This window comes from Homo sapiens, chromosome 6 (genome assembly GCF_000001405.40).
Source record: "Homo sapiens chromosome 6, GRCh38.p14 Primary Assembly".
NCBI lineage: Eukaryota > Metazoa > Chordata > Mammalia > Primates > Hominidae > Homo > Homo sapiens.
This window is the reverse complement of record NC_000006.12, coordinates 30,810,988-30,835,349: the sequence shown is the minus strand read 5'-3', so window position 1 is coordinate 30,835,349 and position 24,362 is coordinate 30,810,988. Positions and strand designations below refer to the sequence as shown.

The window sequence follows — 24,362 nt, the reverse complement described above, 5'->3', positions numbered from 1 at the left end:
GGCTTCTCTGGGCATTCTCCAGCAATCCTTCAGCCTGGGAATGCTCTGGGCAGAAGTGGGGGTCTCCTCACTCGTGGGGAGAAAGCACCAAATTTCCAGACCCTAGAGAATCTCAACCTCTGCTCAAGACACACCCACAGTCCACTTCTGCCTCTCTTAGCCTAGGTGTTTGCGCATAATCCAAATGCCATCACTACCCACCTTCTCCATACTCAAGAAAGAGCCTCAGAATTGGGAACAAAAAGCCCAGTAACTCTCTTGGTGAGGGGAGTATACACAGAGCAACAAGAACAAAACAAAACAATTCCACAGTAAATTACCCTGCCACAAGCCTGGCATGGGAGCTTTGATGAACTGTAATGGAATGAAGAGCTGGGTAATGCTGTAGCCGCAACCCGGCAAAGTGAGTTGAAGGAGACAGAGCCTTACAGAACCAAGAAGCTACTCACCCTGGGCATGAAAGCTCTGGTCCAGGTGCAGATACAGCTGTTTCAGTTATCTATCACTGAGCAACCGCCATCCCAAACCTAGTGGCTTACAACAACAGCCACTTCCTTACATAAAAAATTGTGTCTGTCAGTTCAGCAATTCTACTCTGCTTGATGTTAACTGGAGTCACTCAATGCCATCTTCGGCAGCTGGCTGGTCTGGAGTGTTCAAGACAGCTTCCTTCACATTTTTGTCACCTTTGTGGGGACAGCTGGGCTCTGCTAGTGGTTGGCCAGAGTACCATACTCGGCCACTCCAGCAGGCAGTGGCAGGGAATTTGAACTTCTTCTTTTGGGGGGAAGAGGGGTACAGGGTCTCGCTCTGTTGCCTAGGCTGGTGTGCAATGGCATGGTCATAGCTGACTACAACCTTAAAGGTCTCAAGCAATCCTCCTGCCTCAGCCTCTTGAGTAGCTGGGACTACAGGCGTGAGCCACCATTCCCGGCTAATCTTTTCTTTTTTGTAGATATGGACTCTCACTATGTTGACCAGGCTGGTCTGAACTTCTGACCTCAAGTAATCCCCCTGCCTCAGCCTCCCAAAGTTCTAGGATTACGGAGCACCACTGTGCCCAGCCTGAATTTGAAACTTTTTTTTTTTTTTTTTTTTTTCCTGAGACAGAGTCTTGTTCTGTCACCCAGAGCTGGAGTGCAGTGGTGCAATCTCAGCTCACTGCAACCTCCACCTCCGGGGTTCAAGCAATTCTCCTGCCTCAGCCCCCTGAGTAGCTGGGATTACAGGTGCGCACCACCACATCCAGCTAATTTTTGTATTTTTAGTAGAGACGGCATTTCACCATGTTGGCCAGGCTGGTCTTGAACTCCTGACCTCATGATCCGCCCGCCTCAGCCTCCCAAAGTGCTGGGATTACAGGTGTGAGCCACCGTGCCCAGCCTGATTTTGAACTTTTTACATGGTGATTCAGGCTCCCAGAGAATGCTCCAGGAGACAGGAGGTGGAAGGTGCTATTGAATCCTGTGCTGGAAGCTGGTTTAGCATCACTTCCAACAATTTGTGTCGCTCGAGCAGCCACACAGCCACCCAGATTTAAGGGGTCCCCACCTCCCAATGGGAGAAGTAGCAAAGGATATGTAGCCAACTTTTAAATCTGCAATGAATAGAAGTAGTCCCCTTCCTCCAGCTGATTGCCAGGTGAGTTGGGGTTGGCTTCAACAATGGCATATATAAAACTTAGTGGCTCTGGTGAAGACATCAAGATCTCAAACTTAATCAAATGTCTGCCTGGCTGATGTGAGCAGCCCACAGGCCTTACTGCCAGATTTACCAATGCTGATGCCCATGCTCAAGAGTTCAGCTAGCATCTTGTGAAGGAGGCAGCAAATAGGGCTCTCAATAACACAAACCCATCTGTATTAGGGTACTCCAGGGAAGCAGACCCAATAGGAGAAATCAGGGCCAGGCACGGTGGCTCATGCCTGTAATCCTAGCACTTTGGGAGGCCGAGGTGAGAGGATCGCTTGAGCCCAGGAGTTAGAGACCAGCCTGGGCAACATAGTGAGACCTCATCTGTAAAAAAAGTTTAAAAATTAGTTGGGCATGGTGGTGGGCACCTGTAGTCCTAGCTACTCAGGAGGATGAGGCTGGAGGATTGCTTGAGCCTGGGAAGTCAAGGCTGCAATGAGCTAGGATTGTGCCACTGCACTCCAGCCTAGGCAACAGAGTGAGATCTTGTCTCAAAAAAAAAAAAAAGAAGAGAGAGAGAGAAATCAGTAGATGATATGATAGATAGATAAGTAGATAGATAGATTAGATAGATCGATCTATCGATCGATCAATCAATCGATATATAGATTGATAGATAGAATGAGGAATTGGCTCACATTATTATGGAGGCTCTAAAGTCCCACAGTCTGCCATCAGCGAACTGAGACCCAGGAAAGCCAGTAATATAATTCCAGTCTATGTCCACAATCTTGTGGACCAGAGGAACCAGGGGAGCTAATAGTACAAATCTCAGTCCAAGGAGAGAAGAAGACTGATATTCCAGTTCCAGCGCGCAGGCGGGAAGAAACAGTAGTGAATTTCTCTTTCCTCTTTTCGTTCTGTTCAGGCTCTCAGCAGATTAGATGATGCCCACCACACTGGCGAAGACAATCTACTGAGTCCACAATGCTAATCTCACCTAGAAACACCCTCAGAGACACACCAAGAAATGTTATTTAATCTGGGCACCCTGTAGTGCAACACAATCAAATTGACACATAAAATTAATCATTGAATTTTATACCCTAAAAATCGCAACATCTAATCCATTTCCATTTTTGATGCAGATAAAAAATCCATGAGATCAGTTCAGGAAGCCATAAAAAGGTGATCAAAAAGAAGATGGAGTCAAGGAAGATGTCAAGCAGGAAAGAGCAGAAAGTCCTTTTTTTTTTTTTTTTTTTTTTGAAAGACAGAGTCTCATTTGTAGCCCAGGCTGGAATGCTGGAATGCAGTAGTGCGATCTCAGCTCACCTCCACCTCCCAGCCTCCAGGAAGGTGGGATTACAGGCATGTGCCACCACACCCGGCTAATTTTTGTATTTTTAGTAGAGATGGGGTTTCACCATGTTGGTCAGGCTGGTCTCGAACTCCCGACCTCAGGTGATCCATCCGCCTTGGCCTCCCAAAGTGCTGGGATTACAGGCGTGAGCCACTGCATCCAGCTACTTCTATCTTTTAAAAAAATGTTTTTATATAAATAAAACATACATACAGAGAAGTGCATTAATTTTAAATGTACAGCTCAAAGAACTTTCGCAAACAGCATATGCATGCAACCAGTGCCTAGATTAAGGAAAGGACATTCCCAGGATGCCAGGGGCCCCCTCCTGTGCCTTTTAGTTACTACCCTCCCCAAAGGACAACCTCTCTCCTCACTACTACCATTTTGCCTGGACCTGAGCTTTATATAAATGGAATCATACAATGTGCTCTTTCACAGCTGGCTTCTTTCACTCGACTTTATGTCTGCAGATTTGCCTGTTATCACATGCAGTTATAGGAACATTCATTTTCAGTGCTGAGAAATATTCCACTGCATGCATATGCCACAATTTTCCTCCCCTTTCTCCTGCTGAAGGCTATTTGGGTCATTCCCACTTTAGGCAGTGTGGGCTCCAGTGCTTCTCTATTGGGAGCAGCTCTGCTCCTCCTGTCCCTCAATGAGTGCCACTCACTGAGGACACCACGGAGAGTGTGACTGGGCACCACACAGTGCCCCCAACTCAGGGGCACCAGGTCCCCTTTGGCTCAAAGACGAAGCAAGACAGAGCTTTCTGTCTGACCCCACAAACCTGTCTGCCATTTCTGCCACCTCCCCAGGACTCAGCCCAGGGACCCCTTTCTCTAATACCCACAAATGTGCACATTGTTATTATGGCCCCTCTGCCCCACCAGCACAAGGGAACCCCTTTCTGTTGGAAGGTGAGGGGATGGTTGTTCTTAGTGTCCATTTCTCCTAAATACCTGGCCTATGTCATAAATCCTTTCAGTTCCCATGAGGTCTCATGTTTGAAATTTATGAGGCAGAAGATGCTGCTTGGCTCTGCTTTCTGCTGACTGCCCACCCTCCTACCCCAACTGCTAGAAGGGCTGGGGAGTGGGAGGGGAGGAGGGAGAGATACAGATGAAATAAATCAGAAGTTGTTTTTTTTTTTTTTTCTAGAGATGAGGTCTCTCTCTGTCACCCAGGTTGGAGTACAGTGGCAAAATTGCAGCTCACTGCAGCCTGGAACCCCTGGGCTCAAGTGATCCTCCTGCCTCAGCCTCCCAAGTACCTGAGATTACATGTGTGAGCCACCGCACCTGGCCAGAGAATATTTCAAAATGTTAGCCCTCCACATTTACAACGGAAAGGATTTGGACCAACCCACTTCTGCCATCTCTCTTGGGCAATGGACACTGATGGTTAGGGATGCCCTTACTTGTTCCCAGCGGGCTTCTCATACTCTAACAAACACACAGAAAGGCATCCAGCTCCACAGTGTCTCAGTCTGTGTCATTGGTTTGTCTGGGGCTCCAAATGTCCCACTTCTTCTGGGCATCCATTATCTTCCCTGGAATAGAGTGCAAAGGCCCCTCAGCTCAGTGGTCTTCCCTCAGAGCCTGGAAGCCCCTTCATTATGGTGGCTGGATACTTTCTTGAGATATTAACATGTGTTTTTTTGTTCTTCCTGTTTTGTCACTGTTCTACCCCATTCCAGGAAGCGTTTGCACATCCTGGCCCCAGAAGATTTTGCGTAGCCTCACCAAGAGAAGAAGTTGGAAAGAAAAAAAAAGAAGTTGGCAAGGCATCCAGAGGAGACCCCGCCAGCACCTGGGTTCTCTGCCAGGGGAGAGAGGTAAGCACACTGGACTGAAGGAGGCAAAAGCTGCTCAAGGGAGTGGGGGGTGGGGGGAGATTCCCAGATGCTGTGGAAGGGATGTGGTTTGGGGGTCCTTGGAGTAGTGAGGAGAAGCCCTGCTCCCACATAGAACCCCACACACACAACAGTGGGGATGGAGGGAGGTCAGGGATTCCAAAGGAAACTAGCTAAGAACCTTGGCCTTACTAACCACAAAGACTCCCATTCATATCAGCTGTGTCTGAAGGTCAGAGGCCCAGACTCTGAATGTTCTAGGCTGGGTCAGACCCCTGGGATGGTCACTGGACCCCATAGGAGAAGAGATAGGGGAGTCCCTAATAAAACTTCAATTACATTTCCTGCCTGCTTGGTCAGTGGATACTAAATGCAGATGACTTAGAAAAAGAAAGAATTGTGAGATGCTGTGGAGTCAACTCAATGTCATCATTAGCGTCTTCCTCTTCAGAGTCCTGTATCCCAGCGACGGAGCTCAAGGTTCAGACTAAAGGCTTCCTACCCCTGGCAAGGAGGTCTTTATAGTGGAGGTGAACGTTTACACACTACACTCTGAGAATTTTTTTTTTAAAGTAGCCTCTATTTTGTATGTCTTCTCATCCTGTTAGAGTAAGTAGCTAGTCAGGGATGAGCAGGGCAGGAGAGGGCGCCCCAGACACACACCCACAGGAATGTCAGGCAAACATCAGGTGAGGGTCAGGCAGTTGTTAACGGGCTCTCTAAAATAATTGGTCACAGCTGGCACCAGAGACAGGCAGTCTCCCAATAGAAACATCTGAAACTGGTGATCAGCAGTTTCCCAATAAGATCCCAGTAAGTGACCAAAGAGGCAAGAATTGAGGTTGCTGCAGACCCCTATGGATTTGCTGCCACTAACGATCCCTACTACTGCTGCTGGGGAGGAGGTTTTAATAGTATCTATTAATTAAAGATATCCCAGTCTCTTTTCTATCCTCCCTCCCCAAATACTGCTCGGTCCACCTCATGAGATTGTCCTGGGCCTTTTGAGACCCAGGCAATGGGAAGAGAAGGCCATGGAAGTGGACTGAGAATGCTGGGTGTCTAGATTAACTATGCTGCCCTCCGGAAGGCACCTCCAGTAGGATGCACAGCTGTGGCTATCAGCAAATTCCCCTTCCTCCTCTTGCAGGTGCCCTAGAGAACATGGATAGGGCTGCAGGTGGTTAATGGTTCAAAGACTACTCAGTGAAGACGCTGCCTGGGGGAACAGAGTGTGGCCACATCTAAGGAAAGAAGGTACAGGTGAACAGGAGAGGAGGTGAAGGAGAAGCGAGCAGGTGGGGGTTGCGGAGGGGCTGAGGAAGGTCAGGCAGAGCCAGGAGACCAATCCAGCTCCTTGGAAGGTAGCTCAGTTGACTCCTTACCATGTGGCATTTGTAAAAGGTGGACAGTAGAGGCCTGGGGCCAGAGAGAGGCTGGACCAGATTCCCACTGTAAAAATCTCCTTGCCAAGGTCCAGGTAGGGTGTCCTTAAGTCTGAATCTTGATCCCCATCGCTGGGATACAGGACTCTGAAAGAGGAAGATGCTAAATGACTGCATTTGGGGAGGGAAAGACACGCTCACTTCTCCCCAGCCCCAAGTTGCCCTGTGTTGCTGCCACACTACGTAACTACAGTCATAAACTATATTTGAAGCATGATGGAACCTGAACCATGGCAGTAGCTTAAGTTGACTACATTAACAGGGAAAGCTGAGTCATGATTCTATACTGAATATAAAAATTAAGTCAGATGTGCTCACTCACATGCACACAAATATTCTGGAAAGCTGAGATCCACAGCCCCAAGATGGGGAAAGGGCTCCCCCTGGTGGGATTGCCAGAGGTTCCCCCATGGAACTGCACGCCCCAGACCAAGCCAAAGCCCCAAGCAAAACAATCTGCTATGTCATGCAGGATTGGAAGACTTTCGTTTGCTTCAGGGCCAATTTATGACTCCCGGTATTCTCTGTCCTGAAATGACACCCAGTTCCAGGAAGAATTGGATTCTAGGACCAACTTGTACAGGCGCCCCAGGAGACAGTCTGGGCATGCAGGTCAGCCGATGTGTGCCGGGGAAGACTGTCCACATTTGCTCCTCAGTCCCACTGGGCCTGATCACAGGCCACCCCCCATAGTAAAGGGGAGCCAGGGCCCCTGGGCAAGGTTAGATGCTGCCTCTCATGCCCCTGAATTAGCCAAGAGGCGCTCCAGCAGGAAGCCTTGTTTGGCTTATATTGCAAAGGAGGCACCACTTACTATGCAGTCCCCTGCCCGGAGCACCTTGCCTGTGCTACTGAGAAATGTCCTGCTGCAGCAGGAGAGGCGGATCGAGCTACAGCCAAGAGTGTGCCCTGCCTCCATCTGTTGACCCAGGTCAGAATGATGTGGAACACTGGACAGTTAACTCACTGGGTTCAAAAAACACAGCAACACAATGCTCTGGGTGCCTCCTGGCTGTGATGTGCACTATTGTTTTCTGGGGAGATCCCATCACATATGAAACTTCAGATGTTCATCCAGTGATCATGTCAAGCTTCCATTGTTTGCTCTCATATGCTCCCTGGAGCTGGATTCCACCCTGGCTCAAGACCTCTGATGAAGTGCTGGCATGGAGCAGAAACTCCCTTAGGCAGAAACCCCCTTTCCCCCTTGCCACCCACCCCCCACCAGCACCCCATCCTAGGGATGCCACCGCAGGTCTCCTCTCATAGCAGCACTACTTCCTCAATTCTCAACTTCAGGTTACTGCTACAGAGTCTCGCACCTGATCCAGCCTTGAGAAAGTGATTAGAGTGTGACCGGAAAAAATTGTTAGTGATCCCCAAATATGTAGTATAAAGCTACAGTAAATGCTTCTAAAAAATAGACACAAGTGAAACAGGCTAGCCCAGGGGCTTTCAATACAGAGCAATGATAGATATAATATTAGAGAAAATTAAAAAGCAATGCTCCACAAAGGGAGAATATCCCCAAAGATATTCCCAGAAACTGAATATAAATGCAAAAGATGAACAGGGCTACAGCTGTGGCCTGTTGGGTTCTGACTCAGGGTACAGTTAAAGGCAGCTGGGAAGTCAAGTCCTGTTGAGTACTGAGTGGTGAGATAGAATTAAATTGCCCACTGAGGTGGGGGACCAGTGTCATGGTCACTGTGAAAATATTAGGGACTCAGATTCCCCTCTTGCCCACACTTCCACCCTCTTCAAGAAGACTGAAATAGCTTGCTACTAACTTCGCCTGGGACTGTGGCCTAGGGAGGCCCGTGGTTACCAAACGGCACCACACCTGGGCTTAACTGAGCCACCCACAGCCATGGGGCTGGATGTGAGTCATTCCCAGGGTTATCCCAGGGCAGGAGCCCCGACTGCCATATAAGACCTAGTCCTGAACACTGGCCCCTGGGAAGGGCAACTGCACAGCCACTAGGCAGGGAGGAGTGAGGAACAAGAGAAGGGAGACAGAGAAAGCCTGGAAATGAACCTGGAAGCTGAAATTCCAAAACACATAAAAACTAACACTGAGAAAGGCAGCCAGCAACATCAACACTTGATGCATGACAGGTGAAGTGAAAAGAATATAATCATTGGAAAGAGTCTTCAGTATCCTCAAGGAGGCAGTTAAACATATAATGTTCACTTAAAAATCAAGCCACTATGAGATTACAACCAGGCAGAAACGTGCTGTCATATAACAATGGAACAGAAAAATATTATGCAATAAATGGTTCAGGAGAAATAATTATTAATATTTGGGAAAATACATATAGTAGATGTAAATCCTCACTTCATCTAACATATCCTGAGCAAATCTAAATATTTTTTAATCTCTGAAAAGGGTAGGATGTTCTAAATTAGCTGAAAGAAGCCAGGTGTGTTGGTGGCGTAATTCCCAGCTACTTGAGAGGCTGAGGCAGGAAGATCGCTTATGCCCAGAAATTCGAGACCCGCCTGAGAAACATAGCAAGACTCCCAGTCTCTTAAAGAAAAATAAAACTAGATTTTAAGATAAATATCATACAAGAAATATGAAAGTAATAAGTAAAACATGGGAAAAAAGTAAAAAAACAAATTAACTGAAACAATAGGCCAACAAAAGAAAGGAATATATGCATAGATTTAACTACAAAAAGTTTTTAAATTTTTTTTTTTTTCTTTTGAGACAAAGTCTCGCTCTGTCACCCAGGCTGGAGTGCAATGGCACAATCTTGGCTCACTGCAAACTCCACCTCCCACATTCAAGCGATTCTCCTGCCTCAGCCTCTCGAGTTCCTGAGTACCTGGAACTACAGGCACAGGCCATCATGTCCAGCTGATTTTTTGTATTTTTAGTAGAGACAGGGTTTCACTATGTTGGCCAGGCTGGTCTTGAACTCCTGACCTCAAGTGATCCACCCTCCTCGGCCTCCCAATGTGCTGGGATTACAGGTGTGAGCCACTGCGCCTGGCTAATTTTTATATTTAATAGAAAAAAATGGAATGCAAATAAATAAGGAAAATGTTGGCAACAGTCTCTGAATCCAGCCTTTCTGGGTATGACTTTGGGCAAGTTACTTGACCTCTCCAGGCTTCTATTTCCTCCGTCATACGAGACTAATTATTGTACCGTGAGGCAGGATTAACTGAATTACTCCATTTAAAGCTCTTAGAACAGTAACCAGCACCTAGAAAATACCCCACAGCTATTTGTATTTTATATTGTACTGTGTGAGAAATTCAGACACAGACAATTTATAACAGAAACACCATAACTAATTAACAATTATCAACGAACAATTCAACTTCATTAATATTGAAAAAAATCTAATTTTTTTTTTGCCTTTCTAGTTGATAGACTGTTAAAATAACAATAGTGTATTCCTGCCCTAACCCTGGGGTCCTGTTCCTAAAAGCCTCCTTGGATGAAAACATTGTGATTAAGAAACTCAGGACTTTATGAAAAGTTAGGGATAGGGAATACTGAAATCTTTAGAAAACCCATGTTTTTTAAAACTTTTGCGTTTTTTATGTTTTAAAACTATTCCCAGCCAGGCACGGTGGCTCACGCCTCTAATCCCAGCACTCTGGGAGGCCAAGGCAGGCAGATCACTTGAGGTCAGGAGTTCGAGACCAGCCTGGCCAACATGGCAAAACCCCGTCTCTACTATAAAATACAAAAATTAGCAAGGCATGGTGGCGGGCGCCTGTAATCGGAGGCTGAGGCAGGAGAATCGCTTGAACCTGGGAGGCAGAGGTTGCAGTGAGCCGAGATGGCGCCATTGCACTCCAGCCTGGGTGACAAAGCGAGACTCCGTCTCAAAAAAAAAAAAGCTATTCCCTATTTTTACTAAAATACACTCATAAAGAGAGTATCAATTTTATAAAACTTAGATTGGTAACTGCTTACTGAACAATTACTTCCATTAATTTTTCCTTACTGGAGCATAGCCTTCTAAAACCTCTCCCCTGCGGTTTCAGTGAGATGTTTGCAAATCAGTTAAGTGGGTCTATAAGGAAGAACTGTGGTATTTGTTTGCATATGGTTCCTCATCCAAACACTGCGAGCCTTTTCAGTTATCAGTGGCTGTATGTAATGGACAATTATAAAACAGAGAAAGAGAAAGTGATCCAAGCGGAACGTGCTATGGAAGGTTGCACCAGGAAGAGATGCTTGTGCACTGTCTGGAATGAGCCAGTGGTCCCAGCCCAGGGATTCTGGTTCACTGGATCTAGGGATGGGCCAGGCACGTGCCGCTTGGAAGGCTCTGCAGGTAGTTCTAATGTGCACCCTGTCATGAACCTGCGGAAGAGGATTGGATCAGGGAAGGGACACTTGATTTCTCAGCTTTAACATAAATGAGGGTTTCCATTTTCTGGGTTTTAATCTTCTCCTTTCACTGTAAAATGGAAGAGTTGGACTAAAGTGGAATCTTCGTTATATGACGAGGCAGCACAATATGCGAGAAAGCACACAGGACTTAGGGTCAGGCCACTGGAGCTGGTGTTCTCTCCAGAGTCATTCTTCCTCTCCTTCACACTTACATCCACCCTTCCTACCCTAAAATCCATCTCCCATCTGTCCCCACTCAGTCCCTTAACCACTGCCTTTTTTTTTTTTTTTTTTCGAGATGGAGTCTCGCACTGTCACCCAGCCTGGAGTGCAATGGTGCCATCTTGGCTCACTGCAACCTCCGCTTCCCGGGTTCAAGTGATTCTCCTGCCTCAGCCTCCCAAGTAGTTGGGATTACAGGCATCCACCACCACGCCCGGCTAATTTGTCTTTTTTTTTTTTTTAAATCAAGCAATCCCCTGAAACTGAATAGGTTCAGAGAGACTCCTGCCACTAATTCAGATGTTCATCACCTCTCACTGGAGCAATTTCCATAGCTTCCCAACTACTTTTCCCGACACCAGTTTTTGTGTTTTTTTTTCTTTTTTGAGACAGGATCTTGCTCTGCTGCCCAGGCTGGTATGCAGTGGCGTGATTATGGGTCACTGCAGCTTCCGTCTCCTGGGCTTGAGTGATCCTCCCACCTCAACCTCCTGAGTAGCTGGGACTACAGGCATGCACCACCATGTCTGGCTAATTGTTTAAAACTTTTGCAGAGATGAGGTCTCACTATGTTGCCTAGGCTGGTCTCAAACTCCTGGCTCAAGCAATTCTCGCATGTTGGCCTCCCAAAGTGCTGGGATAACAGATGTGAGCCACCACACCCAATCCCTGATACCAGTTTAGATCCTCTCTAATCCCCCTTTGCACCGCCTTCTGGTATGCATCTTCCACTGCTGCTGAAACCTCTGGCTGATCACAGGAGGGTACATTTTCCCCACCTCATATGCCAGTCATTTTATTAGATCATCAAAATCCTGGCAGTCACCAGTGAGCGATTTACATTTTTGCAACGTGGTTCCCATTATTCTACTGTCTCTTTCTTTCTTTAGTAAACCCTCAATGTTTCTTGTATAAGAAATGGGCTGGGATGGCTGGGCGGGGTGGCTCACACCACTGCACTCCAGCCTGGGCAAGAGAGCAAGACTCCATCTCCAAAAAAAAAGAAGGAGAAGGAGGAGAAGAAGAAGAAGGGGAAGAGGAAGAAGAAGAAGAAGGAGAAGGAGAAGTGAAAGAAGAAGAAGAAGAAATGGGCTGGGATGTTATCAAGAAGCTTTGTCATTTTGGTTTATTCTTTTTTTTTTTTGAGATGGAGTCTTACTCTGTCACTCAGGCTGGAGTGCAGTGGTGCCATCTCGGCTCGCTGCAACCTCTGCCTCCCGAGTTCAAGCGATTCTCCTGCCTCAGCCTCCCAAGTAGCTGGGATTACAGGCACCCGCCACCATGCCCAGCTAATTTTTGTATTTTTAGTAGAGACGGGGTTTCACCATGTTGACCAGGCTGGTCTTGAACTCCTGACCTCATGAACCGCCTGCCTTGGCCTCTCAAAGTGCTGTGATTACAGGCGTGAACCACTGCACCCGGCCCATTTTGGTTTATTCTTTGCAGTCAATAAACTTTTAAAGGACTTCTGCCTTCACCAGGAGCTGCATCCCACTTCACACATCTAGGCACTGAGTGTTCCCTTGGGCCACAATCAAAGAGCCTCTCATGGCATTCCCATCTTGCCCCTGTGGGACTAAAAACCAAGATTAGAAAGCTCTTTGAAAGTTGGAACTCTGCCTTATTTACTCTTTCTTCCCAGCCCCTATATGGTGCCTGGAATGCTTGTTGAATAAACAAATCTATGCACCTAGAACAAATATTAGAAATAGACCTTTAAAATCTCCCAGAGTCAAAAATATGTAGAAGCACAAAACAAGCAATGAATGTTTTTACTTTCTCAGTTCCCTTCTTGTCATAACCCAAACCCCACAAGTTCCAAATCATATTCAAAAGTAACCGAAAGGGACAAGCTAATCCTTAGGGACCAATGCCACTCATCCTCAGATTCCACAGGACAGTCAGCACTTCTCCTGACAAAATATGATGGTATTTTAGCTCAACAATGCTAATATTAGCTACAATCCCTCATCACCCTCTTCATCCACTCCGAGATTCAAGGGCTCAACAGTAAGGAGTTTACCTCAAAGGAAGGTGTGTGCTAGAAGCAGGTAGAGACACGCTCATTTCTAACTCTTAGAACAGACAATTCTAAATGCCAGTTGACGATTTCAGTGTGGTTTTCTGGCCATCAGGTACAGACAAATTCCTTTTTGAACCTTAAAATTCCAAAGATGGGTCTCCCCTGCCTGTGTATAAAAAGCCAGCTAGGAGTAAGAATTAGAAATGAGCTTTCTCAGGGGCATTTTCACCATTAATTATCTAGAGTTTTTTTTTTTGTTTTTTCAGAGTAGTAGCCATTCTCTTTGTTTATCTTAATGAGCCCAGTTATGCCATCTGGTGGCCAAAATAAATTGAAAACATGCAACTATGCTGTCAGAAAGTGTGAACGTGTCCTTTTTAGAGTTATTCCCTTTCACCCCTTAGTTTTCTCCCCATTTTCCGTGAGCATCTATCACTCACTACATAAGGAGTACCAGGGCATTGATCTTGATGGTGCCTGTTTCCCTGCATGGAAAGGTAAGAAAGTTTGGTCTTGGTACAAGTGAAACTGGTTAAGATCAAAAGAAAAAGAAGGACAAGTTAGGGACAGGACCCTTGCCCATGTCCAAAGGAACAGAATAATGTTTCCAGAAGAAAGAGCAAGAGCAGAAGCCAGTGCCCCCAGCTTATCAGTAAGCAGCATGGAATTTGACTAGGAAACAGCAGAACGGCCACTGCTAAGTGGGAATCACCATAACACCTGAAAAAAATAATAATAACAGCAAGAGTAGCTGCTCCAAATGTGTTCAAACCTCCTGGTCTGAATGGATTACATTCCTAAGTACCAAAATAAAAATTAACTGAGAGTATCTCCAAGTCACTATCAACGATCTCTGAGAAATCACAAAGAGGCAGAAAGGTATTAGAAGTTGGAGATTGTGTGGCTCTGATTCCCAAAGATGGAAAAAAAGATGAATGTTGAAAAGCACAGATCAGGCCAGGTGTGGGGGCTCACGCCTGTAATCCTAGCACTTTGGGAGGCTGAGGCAGGTGGATTACTTGAGTTCAGGAGTTTGAGATGAGCCTGGGCAAAACCCCATCTCTACAAAAAATACAAAAATTAGCTGGGCACGGTGGCTCACGCCTGTAATCCCAACACTTTGGGAGGCCGCGGCAGGCATATCACCTGAGGTCAGCAGTTCGAGACCAGCCTGACCAACATGGAGAAACCCTGTCTCTACTAAAAATACAAAATTAGCCAGGTGTGGTGGCGCATGCCTGTAATCCCAGCTACTCGGGAGGCTGAGGCAGGAGAATTGCTTGAACCTGGATGGTGGAGTCTGCAGTGAGCCGAGATCGTGCCATCACACTCCAGCCTGGGCAACAAGAGCAAAAACTCCATCTCAAGAAAAAAAAAAAAATTAGCCAGGTGTGGTGGTGCACACCTGTAGTCCCAGCTACTTGGGGGACTGAGGCAGGAGGATCACTTGAGCCCAGGAAGTCAAGGCTTGCAGTGAGCCAAGATCAGGCCACTGTACTCCAGCCTGGGTGACAAAGCGAGACTCTGTCTCAAAAATAAAAAAGAAAAGAAAACTACAGATAAGTGGCCTTGGCAATGACTGTAGGCAAAAACCCTCAAATGAGATACAGAAAGATGTTTTGTAAAGTGTTTCGTGAGCCCCGAGAAGAGCTGAGTATAGTCACCCCTAAGCTCAAGTGATCCTTTCACCTTAGCCTCCCAATAGCTAGGACTATAGGCGTGTCACCATTCCCTACTAATTTTTTAACACCTCCTTCCCGTCCCTCGACTCCTGCTCTCAAACTCTTCAGAAGACTTGTTCCCATGATTCTGTTGGAGACCATGTTCTCTGGAAACAGATACTGAGATAAAGTTGGGATGCAAGATGTTAATTAGGTATTAACACCTGTGAATAAGGGCAAGGAAGCAGGAGTGGGCAGAGGGAGAAGTTAAACTGAGCTGCAGGCCCAACCACACCTCTCATAACTCTGCAGAGAGCTTGGGGCAGTATTGTCTATCAAAGCAAAGCAAGTTGAACTGAAAGAGCCAGACATTTATATCCAGCCCTGCTTAGTCACCACATGGAGCTGCCAGGAGAAAGGGTGTGACCAGGAAGAGGGACCAGGCAGCTCTTTGCAGCCAGGGGACCCTGAAGGAGCTGATGGCTGGAGGCTGTCTGCTGACTGCTCTCCCATAGCTGGGCAACAAGTCCTTCCTTGGGGGAGATCTGAGCAGCACATCTCCATGTCCACTACGCTCTCCTTACTACCATTCCCCTCTGGCACCACTGAAATCCACCTTCCATCTTCGCTTTTACTCCACTCACTCCATCCCTTTGCTCCACGCCAAATCCAGTGGGCCCTTCTTGGTTCTTACCTTACAGCTGACCTCTCTCTCATTTGTTGAAGTTATCGATTTCTACAGTAACTTCTCCTCTCTCTCCTTGACCTCTCTACCCACACTTTGCCGGCCTGTTCAGGGGTCCTGTCCTCCATGCACTACCCAAGCACTGGGACTCCATTCTGAATCCATCCTCCTCTTCCTCCGTACTCTCCCAGGCGATCCCACCCACTATCAGGGTTTTAATTCCTGTTTATATGGCAGTGACTTTGAAATGTACTCTCCAGCTATCCTCTCTGCTAGGCTTCCGATTCCCATATCTAATTGGCTGCTGGCTATCTCCATGCTAAGGGCTGTCAGAACTGTGACATTCCACCTCTCTTCTCCCACTGTGTTCCCACCCTAATTCTTCCAGTGCAAGAAACCAGGGACCCTTTGAACCTGCTCTGTCAAGTTTCTTTTCTCGGCAGCCACCCCCGCTGGGTCCAGTTTGGGCATGGGTATGGAAGCACTCCGAACAGTATCAAGGACTCTGCATATGGAGATTTGCATCACTGACATATAAATAGCTGATGCTGGTGCTGAAACCAAAGAATATTCATCACTGATCACACCCACTACTTGCCCAACCAGATGTGAACCTCTGACTCAGTGGGTCCACAGGAAAGAGTTACTCAGCACTTCCTAGGTATAGGTGATGAGAGATGGTATTCATTTATTTTACAGCTTGAAGAATCTGTAAAGAAAATCTGAAGAAAAGAGTTATCTGGGCTGGGCACGGTGGCTCACGCCTGTAATCCCAGTACTTTGGGAGGCCGAGGCGGGCGGATCACGAGGTCAGGAGATTGAGACCAGCCTGGCCAACAGGGTGAAACCCCGTCTCTATTAAAACACAAAAATTTAGCCGGGCGTGGTGGCGCATGTCTGTAGTCCCAGCTACTCGGGAGGCTGAGGCAGGAGAATCGCTTGAACCCGGGAGACGGAGGTTGCAGTGAGCCAAGATTGCGCCACTGCACTCCGGCCTAGCGACAGAGCGAGACTCCATCTCAAAACAACAACAACAAAAAAAGAGTTCTCTGAGCAGGTAGCTTTTAGCCACACCTTTTATTTCCAGGCCTATACCTGTGTGGCAAAGGCTTAAATAGGAGGTATTTCTGAAGGAAAATTAACTCCAGTTTATTTAAATATACCATGCTTCGTGTATATATGTCCTCTCCTTCCAAACCGGAATTTCCAGTTAAATTCAAGGAATAATTATCAAGTAAATACAACATGACAAGAGCAAGGCTAAGTACAGGACAGTTCCTGCCTTAAGGAATCTAAGGTGAAAGGATAAGTCTAATGGAAGCGCATTCCAGTTTGCTGATGAGCACAAAAGCCATAGCAGCTAAGTGCCATGGGTTCCAGAGAAGGAAAGTGTCTCCGTGCAGGCTGGCTTCATAAAGGCTTCTGAGATAGGCCTAAAGGATAGATCAGATTTCAGGAAGTAAGCACAAGACAGGAATAAGCAAGAAATAATGATGACACACAAGGAATGGAGAGGAAAGAATGCCATCAGAAGAATATCTTCAGAGAATTGCACAATAAAGAGTAATGGTAAGGAAATTTTCTTATAGCTAAGGCCAAATATTGAGACTACAGAAATACCCTGGGAGGCTAGAGAGAGGCAACGTCATGGGGGTAAGATTGGTTTTTTGTTTGATTGGTTTTTTTTGGGGGGGGCGGTTAGGTTTTTTCTTTGGAGAAGGAGTCTCCCTCTGTCACCCAGGCTGGAGGGTAGTGGCGCAATCTCAGCTCACTGCAACCTCCGCCTCCCAGGTTCAAGCGATTCTCCTGCCTCAGCCTCCCGAGTAGCTTGGATTACAGGCAACCACCACCTCGGCCGAATGATTTTTGTATTTTTAGTAGAGACAGGGTTTCACCATGTTGGCCAGTCTGGTCTTGAACTCCTGACCTCAGGTGATCCATTCACCTTGGCCTCCCAAAGTGCTGGGATTATAGGTATGAGCCACATACCCAGCCAGATTGTTAAAATAATATTATTACAAGGAGGTGGGTAGAAAAGGCCAAAATCACTGCCCCATTAACTTTTCCTAGGCCCCAGTTCAGACCCAAACTCTTTTTAGACTTCCCTTTTCTACCATCATGGGCAGCACGGGTGTTGTGGCTCCGAGACCCCTCTTCTATCCAGCTCCCTGAAAAGAACAATGCCCACTAAAGGCTTGCTGGGAGTTGATCCATCACTTCTGGTTTGGTAGAATGTTTCCCTAAGGATCTCTTGAGCCCAGGAATTCAAGACCAGCCTGAGAAACATGGAAAAAACGCATCTCCACAAGAAATGCAAAAATGAATGGGGTGTGGTGGTGTGCGCCTGTAGTCCCTAAGGGCTGTCAGAACTTAGGAGGCTAAGACAGGAGGATTGCTTGAGCCCAGGAAGTCGAGGCTGCAGTGAGCCATGATCACACCACTGTACTCCAGCCTGGGCAACAGAGCAAGACCCTGTCTCAAAGAAAAAGTTTCCCTAATGTTGCCCACATGGGTAACTCCCTCCCACCTATCCCAGTTGTAATTAAGTGAGAACACTCTAGTCCTTGTTCTTAAATGAAGGAAGTGAAAATTTGTGAGGACAAGAATGTTCTGGGCCTGGTGACCTCCCGAAGTGAGCTTGGCAGCAAATCTTCCCATTTGCCTTGGGAAAGCCCTAAAAAAACCAGAGTATGGGATACTGATAGTGGTTATAATTGCTAACGAGGTTAGGGTTTTAACACATGACGCATGCTAAGTAGTCAAAATTCCCCATTTTACAGAAAGAGAAACTGAAGTTCAAAGATGCTATGTGCAATCCCCCTACATGGAGACACAGTCTGAGTCTAGTTTCTCAAGGCCTTGGCAGGGCCTGAGGGAGTGGGTAACATGGGTATGGCTTGTATACATTTATGAATTTTGTATCTGGGAAGCAATATGGAGAAATAGCCTGTAAGGAAGGAAAAGATTAGACACTATTTACTGCAGCTCCAAACAAAACTACACAGAGGCCAGGAGCAGTGGCTGATGCCTGTAATCCCAGCATTTTGGGAGGCCAAGGTGGGTGAATCACCTGAAGTCAGGAGTTTGAGACCAGCCTGGCGAACATGGTGAAACCCTGTCTCCACTAAAAGTACAAAAATTAGCCGGGTGTGGTGGCACACGCCTGTAATCCTACCTACTCAGGAGGCTGAGGCAGGAGAATCACTTGAACCTGGGAGGCAGAGGTTGCAGTGAGCTTGAGAGGTGACAGCCTGCTAGCAGTCCTCACAGCTCTCACTCGCTCTGGGCGCCTCCTCTGCCTGGGCTCCCACTTTGGCGGCATTTGAGGAGCCCTTCAGCCCACCGCTGCACTATGGGAGCCCCTTTCTGGGCTGGCCAAGGCCAGAGCCGGCTCCCTCAGCTTGCAGGGAGGTGTGGAGGGAGAGGCGCGAGCGGAACCGGGGCTGCGTGCAGTGCTTGCGGGCCAGCTGGAGTTCCGGGTGGGCGTGGGCTTGGCGGGCCCCGCACTCGGAGCAGCCGGCCGGCCCTGCCAGCCCCAGGCAGTGAGGGGCTTAGCACCCGGGCCAGCGGCTGCGGAGGGTGTACTAGGTCCCCCAGCAGTGCCGGCCCACCGGCGGTGCGCTCGATTTCTCGCCAGGCCTTAGCTGCCTTCGCACGGGGCAGGGCTCGGGACCTGCAGCCCGCCATGCCTGAGCCTCCCACCCCCTCCGTGGGCTCCTGTGCGGCCCAAGCCTCCCCGACGAGCGCCGCCCCCTGCTCCAGGGCCCCCAGTCCCATCGACCGCCCAAGGGCTAAGGAGTGTGAGCGCATGGCCCAGGACTGGCAGGCAGCTCCACCTGCAGCCCCGGTGCTGGATCCACTGGGTGAAGCCAGCTGGGCTCCTGAGTCTGGTGGGGACGTGGAGAGTCTTTATGTCTAGCTCAGGGATTGTAAATACACCAATCGGCACTCTGTATCTAGCTCAAGGTTTGTAAACACACCAATCAGCACCCTGTGTCTAGCTCAGGGTTTGTGAGTGCCCCAATTGACACTCTACCTAGCTGCTCTAGTGGGCCCTTGGAGAACCTTTATGTCTAGCTCAGGGATTGTAAATACACCAATCGGCACTCTGTATCTAACTCAAGGTTTGTAAACACGCCAATCAGCACCCTGTGTCTAGCTCAGGGTTTGTGAGTGCACCAATCGACACTCTGTATCTAGCTGCTCTGGTGGGGCCTTGGAGAACCTTTACATTTAGCTCAGGGATTGTAAATACACCAATCGGCACTCTGTATCTAACTCAAGGTTTGTAAACACGCCAATCAGCACCCTGTGTCTAGCTCAGGGTTTGTGAGTGCACCAATCGACACTCTGTATCTAGCTGCTCTGGTGGGGCCTTGGAGAACCCGTGTGTCCATACTCTGTATCTAACTAATCTGATGGGGACGTGGAGAACCTTTGTATGTAGCTCAGGGATTGTAAACGCACCAATCAGCACCCTGTCAAAACAGGCCACTCGGCTCTACCAATCAGCAGGATGTGGGTGTGGCCAGATAAGAGAATAAAAGCAGGCTGCCCCAGCCAACAGTGGCAACTTGCTCCGGTCCCCTTCCACAGTGTGTAAGCTTTGTTCTTTTGCTCTTTGCAATAAATCTTGCTACTGCTCAGTCTTTGAGTCTACATTGCTTTTGTGAGCTGTAACACTCACTGCAAAGGTCTGCAGCTTCATTCCTGAAGCCAGTAAGACCACAAACCCACCAGAAGGAAGAAACTCCGAACACATCTGAACATCAGAAAGAACAAACTCCAGACATGCCACCTTAAGAGCTATAACACTCACCGTGAGGGTCCGTGGCTTCATTCTTGAAGTCAGTGAGACCAAGAACCCACCAATTCCGGACACAAGCTAAGATCACACCACACTGCATCCCAGCCTGGCAACAGAGCGAGACTGTCTCAAAAAAAAAAAAAGGCCGGGTGCCGTGGCTCACCTTTGTAATTCCAGCACTTTGAGAGGCTGAGGAGGGTGGATCACCTGAGGTCAGGAGTTCAAGACCAGCCTAGCCAACATTGTGAAACCCCGTCTCCACTAAAAATACAAAAAAATTAGCCAGATGTGGTGGGCGCCTGTAATCTCAGCTACTCAGGAGGCTGAGGCAGGAGAATCGCTTGAACCTGGAGCAGGGCTGGATGGGGGGTAGAGGTTGTAGTGAGCTGAGGTCAGGCCACCACACACAAGCCTGGGCAATAAGAGTGAAATGCCATCTCAATAAATATTGTGTTTGGTTCTTGAGTAACAAAAACTCAATACAATGGCCTAACTTCATAGGTGTTTATTTTTCCCAGTTATGAAGAAGACTTGAGCAGGCAGTCCAGAGCTGATACAGCTGCTCCAATCACCAGAGATGCAATCTCCTGCTAGATGTCTTCACATCTACCTTTCTATGTCACATGTGCAAGATGGTTGCTCTGCCTTCAGACATCACATTTACATTCCAGGCAGAAAGGAGAAGGAAAGAGCAAAAGATGTGTTCCGAACAAATCCATCTTAAAAACAAACAAGGGGAGGGGTAGCAGGAGAAAATTTAAAAAGAAGAAGAAGAAAAACAAAAACAGGAAAGCCGTTGTTTCCCTAAAAGCCCCATCAAGCCGACTTCTACCGGTGACTCATTACCCAGTCATGTGGCCACCCCTGGATTCAAGGCAGTCTGAGGAGGTGAGTGTTTCAAAGAGGCACATGGATGCCACAGACAAAATCAAGTTTCCATGGTTGAAGGAGAAGAGGACGATAGAGTTTGGGGAGGCAGCAGGCTACGTCTGCCACAGAAGATATAAAGATATGGAGCCACACGAGAAGATGGGGGAGGCTGCCAAAAAAGTCCACTGGGTACAGGTGAGGAGCAGGTGACATTGGAGTTGCTCCATCTGAGGAGCCCGCACCTGCAATGGCTTGTGCTCCTGCTCCTGTGGGTATAGGCACAAGGCTGATGCCGAGAGAGTGAGTTGTTTCTGTTGGGGTTCAGAACACAATACCCCAAAGTATGGCGATGAGTACTTAACTAAAGGACATTGGAAGGCCTCAGAAGCAGCCTCAGATCCAAGGTCCCTCTGACCTGCTCCTGCCCTCCTGTCTCTCTCGTCCCTCGTTCTCCCCTGAAGTGAGTCATAGAAACCAGAATCCTCTTCCCCACGGTAGGTCCTAGAAACTAGAACCCTTTTTCCCCGAAGCAAAAGCCATAAAAACTGGAATTATTACTCTAAACTCTCCTTGACTTTTTGTCCAGAAGATGGCCATAAAGAAATTCTCAGCTAGGTGTGGTGGCTCGTATCTGTAATCCCAGCACTTTGAGAGGCCAAGGTGGGAGGATCACTTGAGGCCAGGAGTTTGAGATCGGCCTGGGCAACATAGTAAGACCCCCATCTCTACAAAACTTTTTTTTTTAAACTTACCTAAGCGTGGTGGTACACCTGTAGTCTCAGCTACTTAGGAGGCTGAGGTGGGAGGGACCCTGCTCTGGCTGTGACTGCTTTATCACAGGGAGTGCCTATCTGTGGGCTGCTTTCTACACATTAAAGCATTTTCAGAAAGGGCCAACATCAGCCTTGGAAAAAAGGAGGAAGAGCCACGGAGAGTCTCCCTTTATCTTCCCCTTATGTGATGTGAGAGTGCACATGACTGTGTGCACATACACACACACACACACACCACACACACACACCCCACAGGCACACAGGGTCAAGAACATGCTGGGCAGAGCTTAAGCCACTGAATGTTTCAGTAGGAATCATGATATCTAAAAATAGGACAGCTGATAAGGGGGTTCTTACTACTCACAGTTCCTGGAATTATATGCAATTGCATCTTGGAAACTCAACAAATAAACAGTTAGTATGGAATTAAGGAATTAAGTTTGGTGAAGTTCAAAGAAGCTGATGTTACTCACAAGAGTAAATAGAGAGGAAACCGGGCGTGGTGGCTTCACGCCTGTAATTCTAGCACTTTGGGAGGCCAAGACGAGCAGATCACTTGAGGTAGAGAGTTTGAGACCAGCCTGGCCAACATGATGAAACCCTGTTCTCTACTAAAAATACAAAAATTAGCTGGGTGTGGTGGCAGGCACCTGCAATCCCAGCTACATGGGAGGCTGAGGCAGGAGAATCGCTTGAACCCAGGAGACAGGGGTTGCAGTGAGCCAAGATCACACCACTGCACTCCAGCCTGGGCGACAGAGCAAGACTCCCTCTCAGGAAAGAAAAAAAAAAAAAAAGTAAATAGAGAGGAAAGCACAGGCCAGGGTAAAGAGCTCCATGTAGGGCTGGGCGCGGTGGCTCACGCCTGCGGTCCCAGCACTTTGGGAGGCCGAGGCGGGCGGATCACAAGGTCATGAGATCGAGACCATCCTAGCTAACATGGTGAAACCCCGTCTCTACTAAAAATACAAAAATTAGCCGGGGGTGGTGGGCGCCTGTAGTCCCAGCTACTCGGGAGGCTGAGGCAGGAGAATGGTGTGAATCCAGGAGGTGGAGCTTGCAGTGAGCCGAGATCACACCACTGCACTCCAACTTGGGCAACAGAGTAAGACTCCACCTCAAAAAAAAAAAAAAAAAGAGCTCCATGTATGATTCGTGTATAATGCTGCGGGCATTTGGAGTGCAGCCAACAGCCCCCTTGCAGAGACCCAGTGTTCATTGTCCCTTCCTTCTTCTAGCAGAACCCCAATTTTATTTTGTTTAGCAAAGTTCTATGCTTTAAATTTTTTTTTGCCTCAAACTGCCATGCAGGTAGGAGTGGTGGTGTGGCATAGGGCTGGCCAATGAGATGTTAGCCTAAGTCATGTAAAGGGGACTTTCAGAAAAGTTCTTTTCTAGGACTGACTCAACTGGCATGGGCCCCCTTTGCCTTTTACTCTCCCACTTCCTCCAGCCTGAAACAAAACCATGATGGTCTGAACTCCAGCCATCAACTGGAGAGCACTTAATCACTTTTTCAGTAAATACATGCCAGGCCCTGTTTTCAGTTCTAGGAACTTACCATAAAGAAAACAGATAAAAATCTCTGGCTTCAAGGAGCTTACAGTCTAGTGAGAGGAAACAAATTATAAGCAAACAAATATATAGTATTTCAGAATATGGTAAGTGTTAAGGAAAATAAATTAAGAAATGAGATTCTTATTATCTTTAGGGACACTCTCACTCCATCTCCTTCTGTTGCCCACACTAGAGTGCAGTGGTGCGATCATAGCTCACTGTAACCTCAAACACCTGGGCTCAAGTGATCCTCCTGCCACAGCCTCCTGAGTAGCTGGGACTACAGGTGTATACCACTACATCTGGCTAATTTTTTTTTTATTTTTTATTTTTGTAGAGACGGAGTCTTGCTACATTCCCCAGGCTGGTCTCAAGCTCCTGGCCTCAAGTGATCTTCCTATCCTAACCTCACAAGGGGCTGGGATTATAGGTGTGAGCCACCACACCACCCAGAAATGAGATTCTTTTTATTTTTGTTTGTTTGTTTGTTTGTTTTGAGACAGAGTCTCACTCTGTCACCCAGGCTGGAGTGCAGGGGCACATTCTCGGCTCACTGCAGCCTCCACCTCCAGGTTCAAGTGATTTTCGTGCCTCAGCCTCCCAAGTAGCTGGAGTTACAGGAATATGCCACTACACCCAGCTATTTTTTTTTTTTTTTTTTTTTTTAGTAGAGACAGGATTTCACTATGTTGGCCGGGCTAGTCTCAAACTCCTGACCTCAAGTGATCTGCCAGCCTTGGCTTCCCAAAGTGTAGGGATTATAGGCGTGAGCCACTGCACCCCGCCCAGAAATGAGATTCCTGATGCTCGATCAAGTCAGGGTGGTGGCTCAGAAGGCTGGATGGACCTGGGGGTTGTAAAGGTAGCCAGGGTTTGTTTTAATCAGGTGTGGCAAGACGTGCAGACACAGGAATCACTTTCATGGAGGAAGACATTTACTCACAGTTCCCTAGAAACATGCATGAGGCATGGCATGGCGTGCAGGGGTGCCCCATGGGGAAGCACCTGAGTCAGTCAGGAGGCAGTGGGAGTGAAAGGAAAATGTGGGCAAGAGCCTTTATTGTGGTTTCACAGGCAGGAGTGTGCAGGCAGGTAAGCAAGTT

At 47.7% G+C, this 24,362-nt stretch overlaps 1 long non-coding RNA gene across 1 annotated transcript, besides 5 other annotated features; it reads left to right on the top strand.

Moving 5' to 3' along the window:
• The first annotated feature begins 4,690 nt into the window (after positions 1 to 4,690).
• LINC00243 (long intergenic non-protein coding RNA 243) lies at positions 4,691 to 22,484 on the top strand. The gene is made up of 2 exons (NR_130726.1): positions 4,691 to 4,835; positions 20,578 to 22,484. It is a non-coding gene; the product is annotated as a long intergenic non-protein coding RNA 243 (long non-coding RNA).
• Positions 5,745 to 6,644: an enhancer, noted in NCBI's record as "H3K27ac-H3K4me1 hESC enhancer chr6:30796483-30797382 (GRCh37/hg19 assembly coordinates)". NCBI's record gives its function as "activates a minimal SCP1, AML or CMV promoter by ChIP-STARR-seq in naive H9 embryonic stem cells {active_cell/tissue: H9 hESC(naive)}" and the evidence as "EXISTENCE:reporter gene assay evidence [ECO:0000049][PMID:30033119]".
• Positions 5,745 to 6,818: a biological region, named in NCBI's record as "Sharpr-MPRA regulatory region 12192".
• Positions 6,524 to 6,818: an enhancer, noted in NCBI's record as "tiled region #12192; K562 Activating DNase matched - State 5:Enh". NCBI's record gives its function as "activates a minimal TATA promoter and a strong SV40 promoter by Sharpr-MPRA in K562 cells {active_cell/tissue: K562}" and the evidence as "EXISTENCE:reporter gene assay evidence [ECO:0000049][PMID:27701403]".
• Positions 7,618 to 8,118: an enhancer, noted in NCBI's record as "H3K27ac hESC enhancer chr6:30795009-30795509 (GRCh37/hg19 assembly coordinates)". NCBI's record gives its function as "activates a minimal SCP1, AML or CMV promoter by ChIP-STARR-seq in primed H9 embryonic stem cells {active_cell/tissue: H9 hESC(primed)}" and the evidence as "EXISTENCE:reporter gene assay evidence [ECO:0000049][PMID:30033119]".
• Positions 20,764 to 21,058: an enhancer, noted in NCBI's record as "tiled region #6414; HepG2 Activating DNase unmatched - State 8:EnhW, and K562 Activating DNase unmatched - State 5:Enh". NCBI's record gives its function as "activates a minimal TATA promoter and a strong SV40 promoter by Sharpr-MPRA in HepG2 and K562 cells {active_cell/tissue: HepG2 | K562}" and the evidence as "EXISTENCE:reporter gene assay evidence [ECO:0000049][PMID:27701403]".
• Positions 22,485 to 24,362: the final 1,878 nt, after the last annotated feature.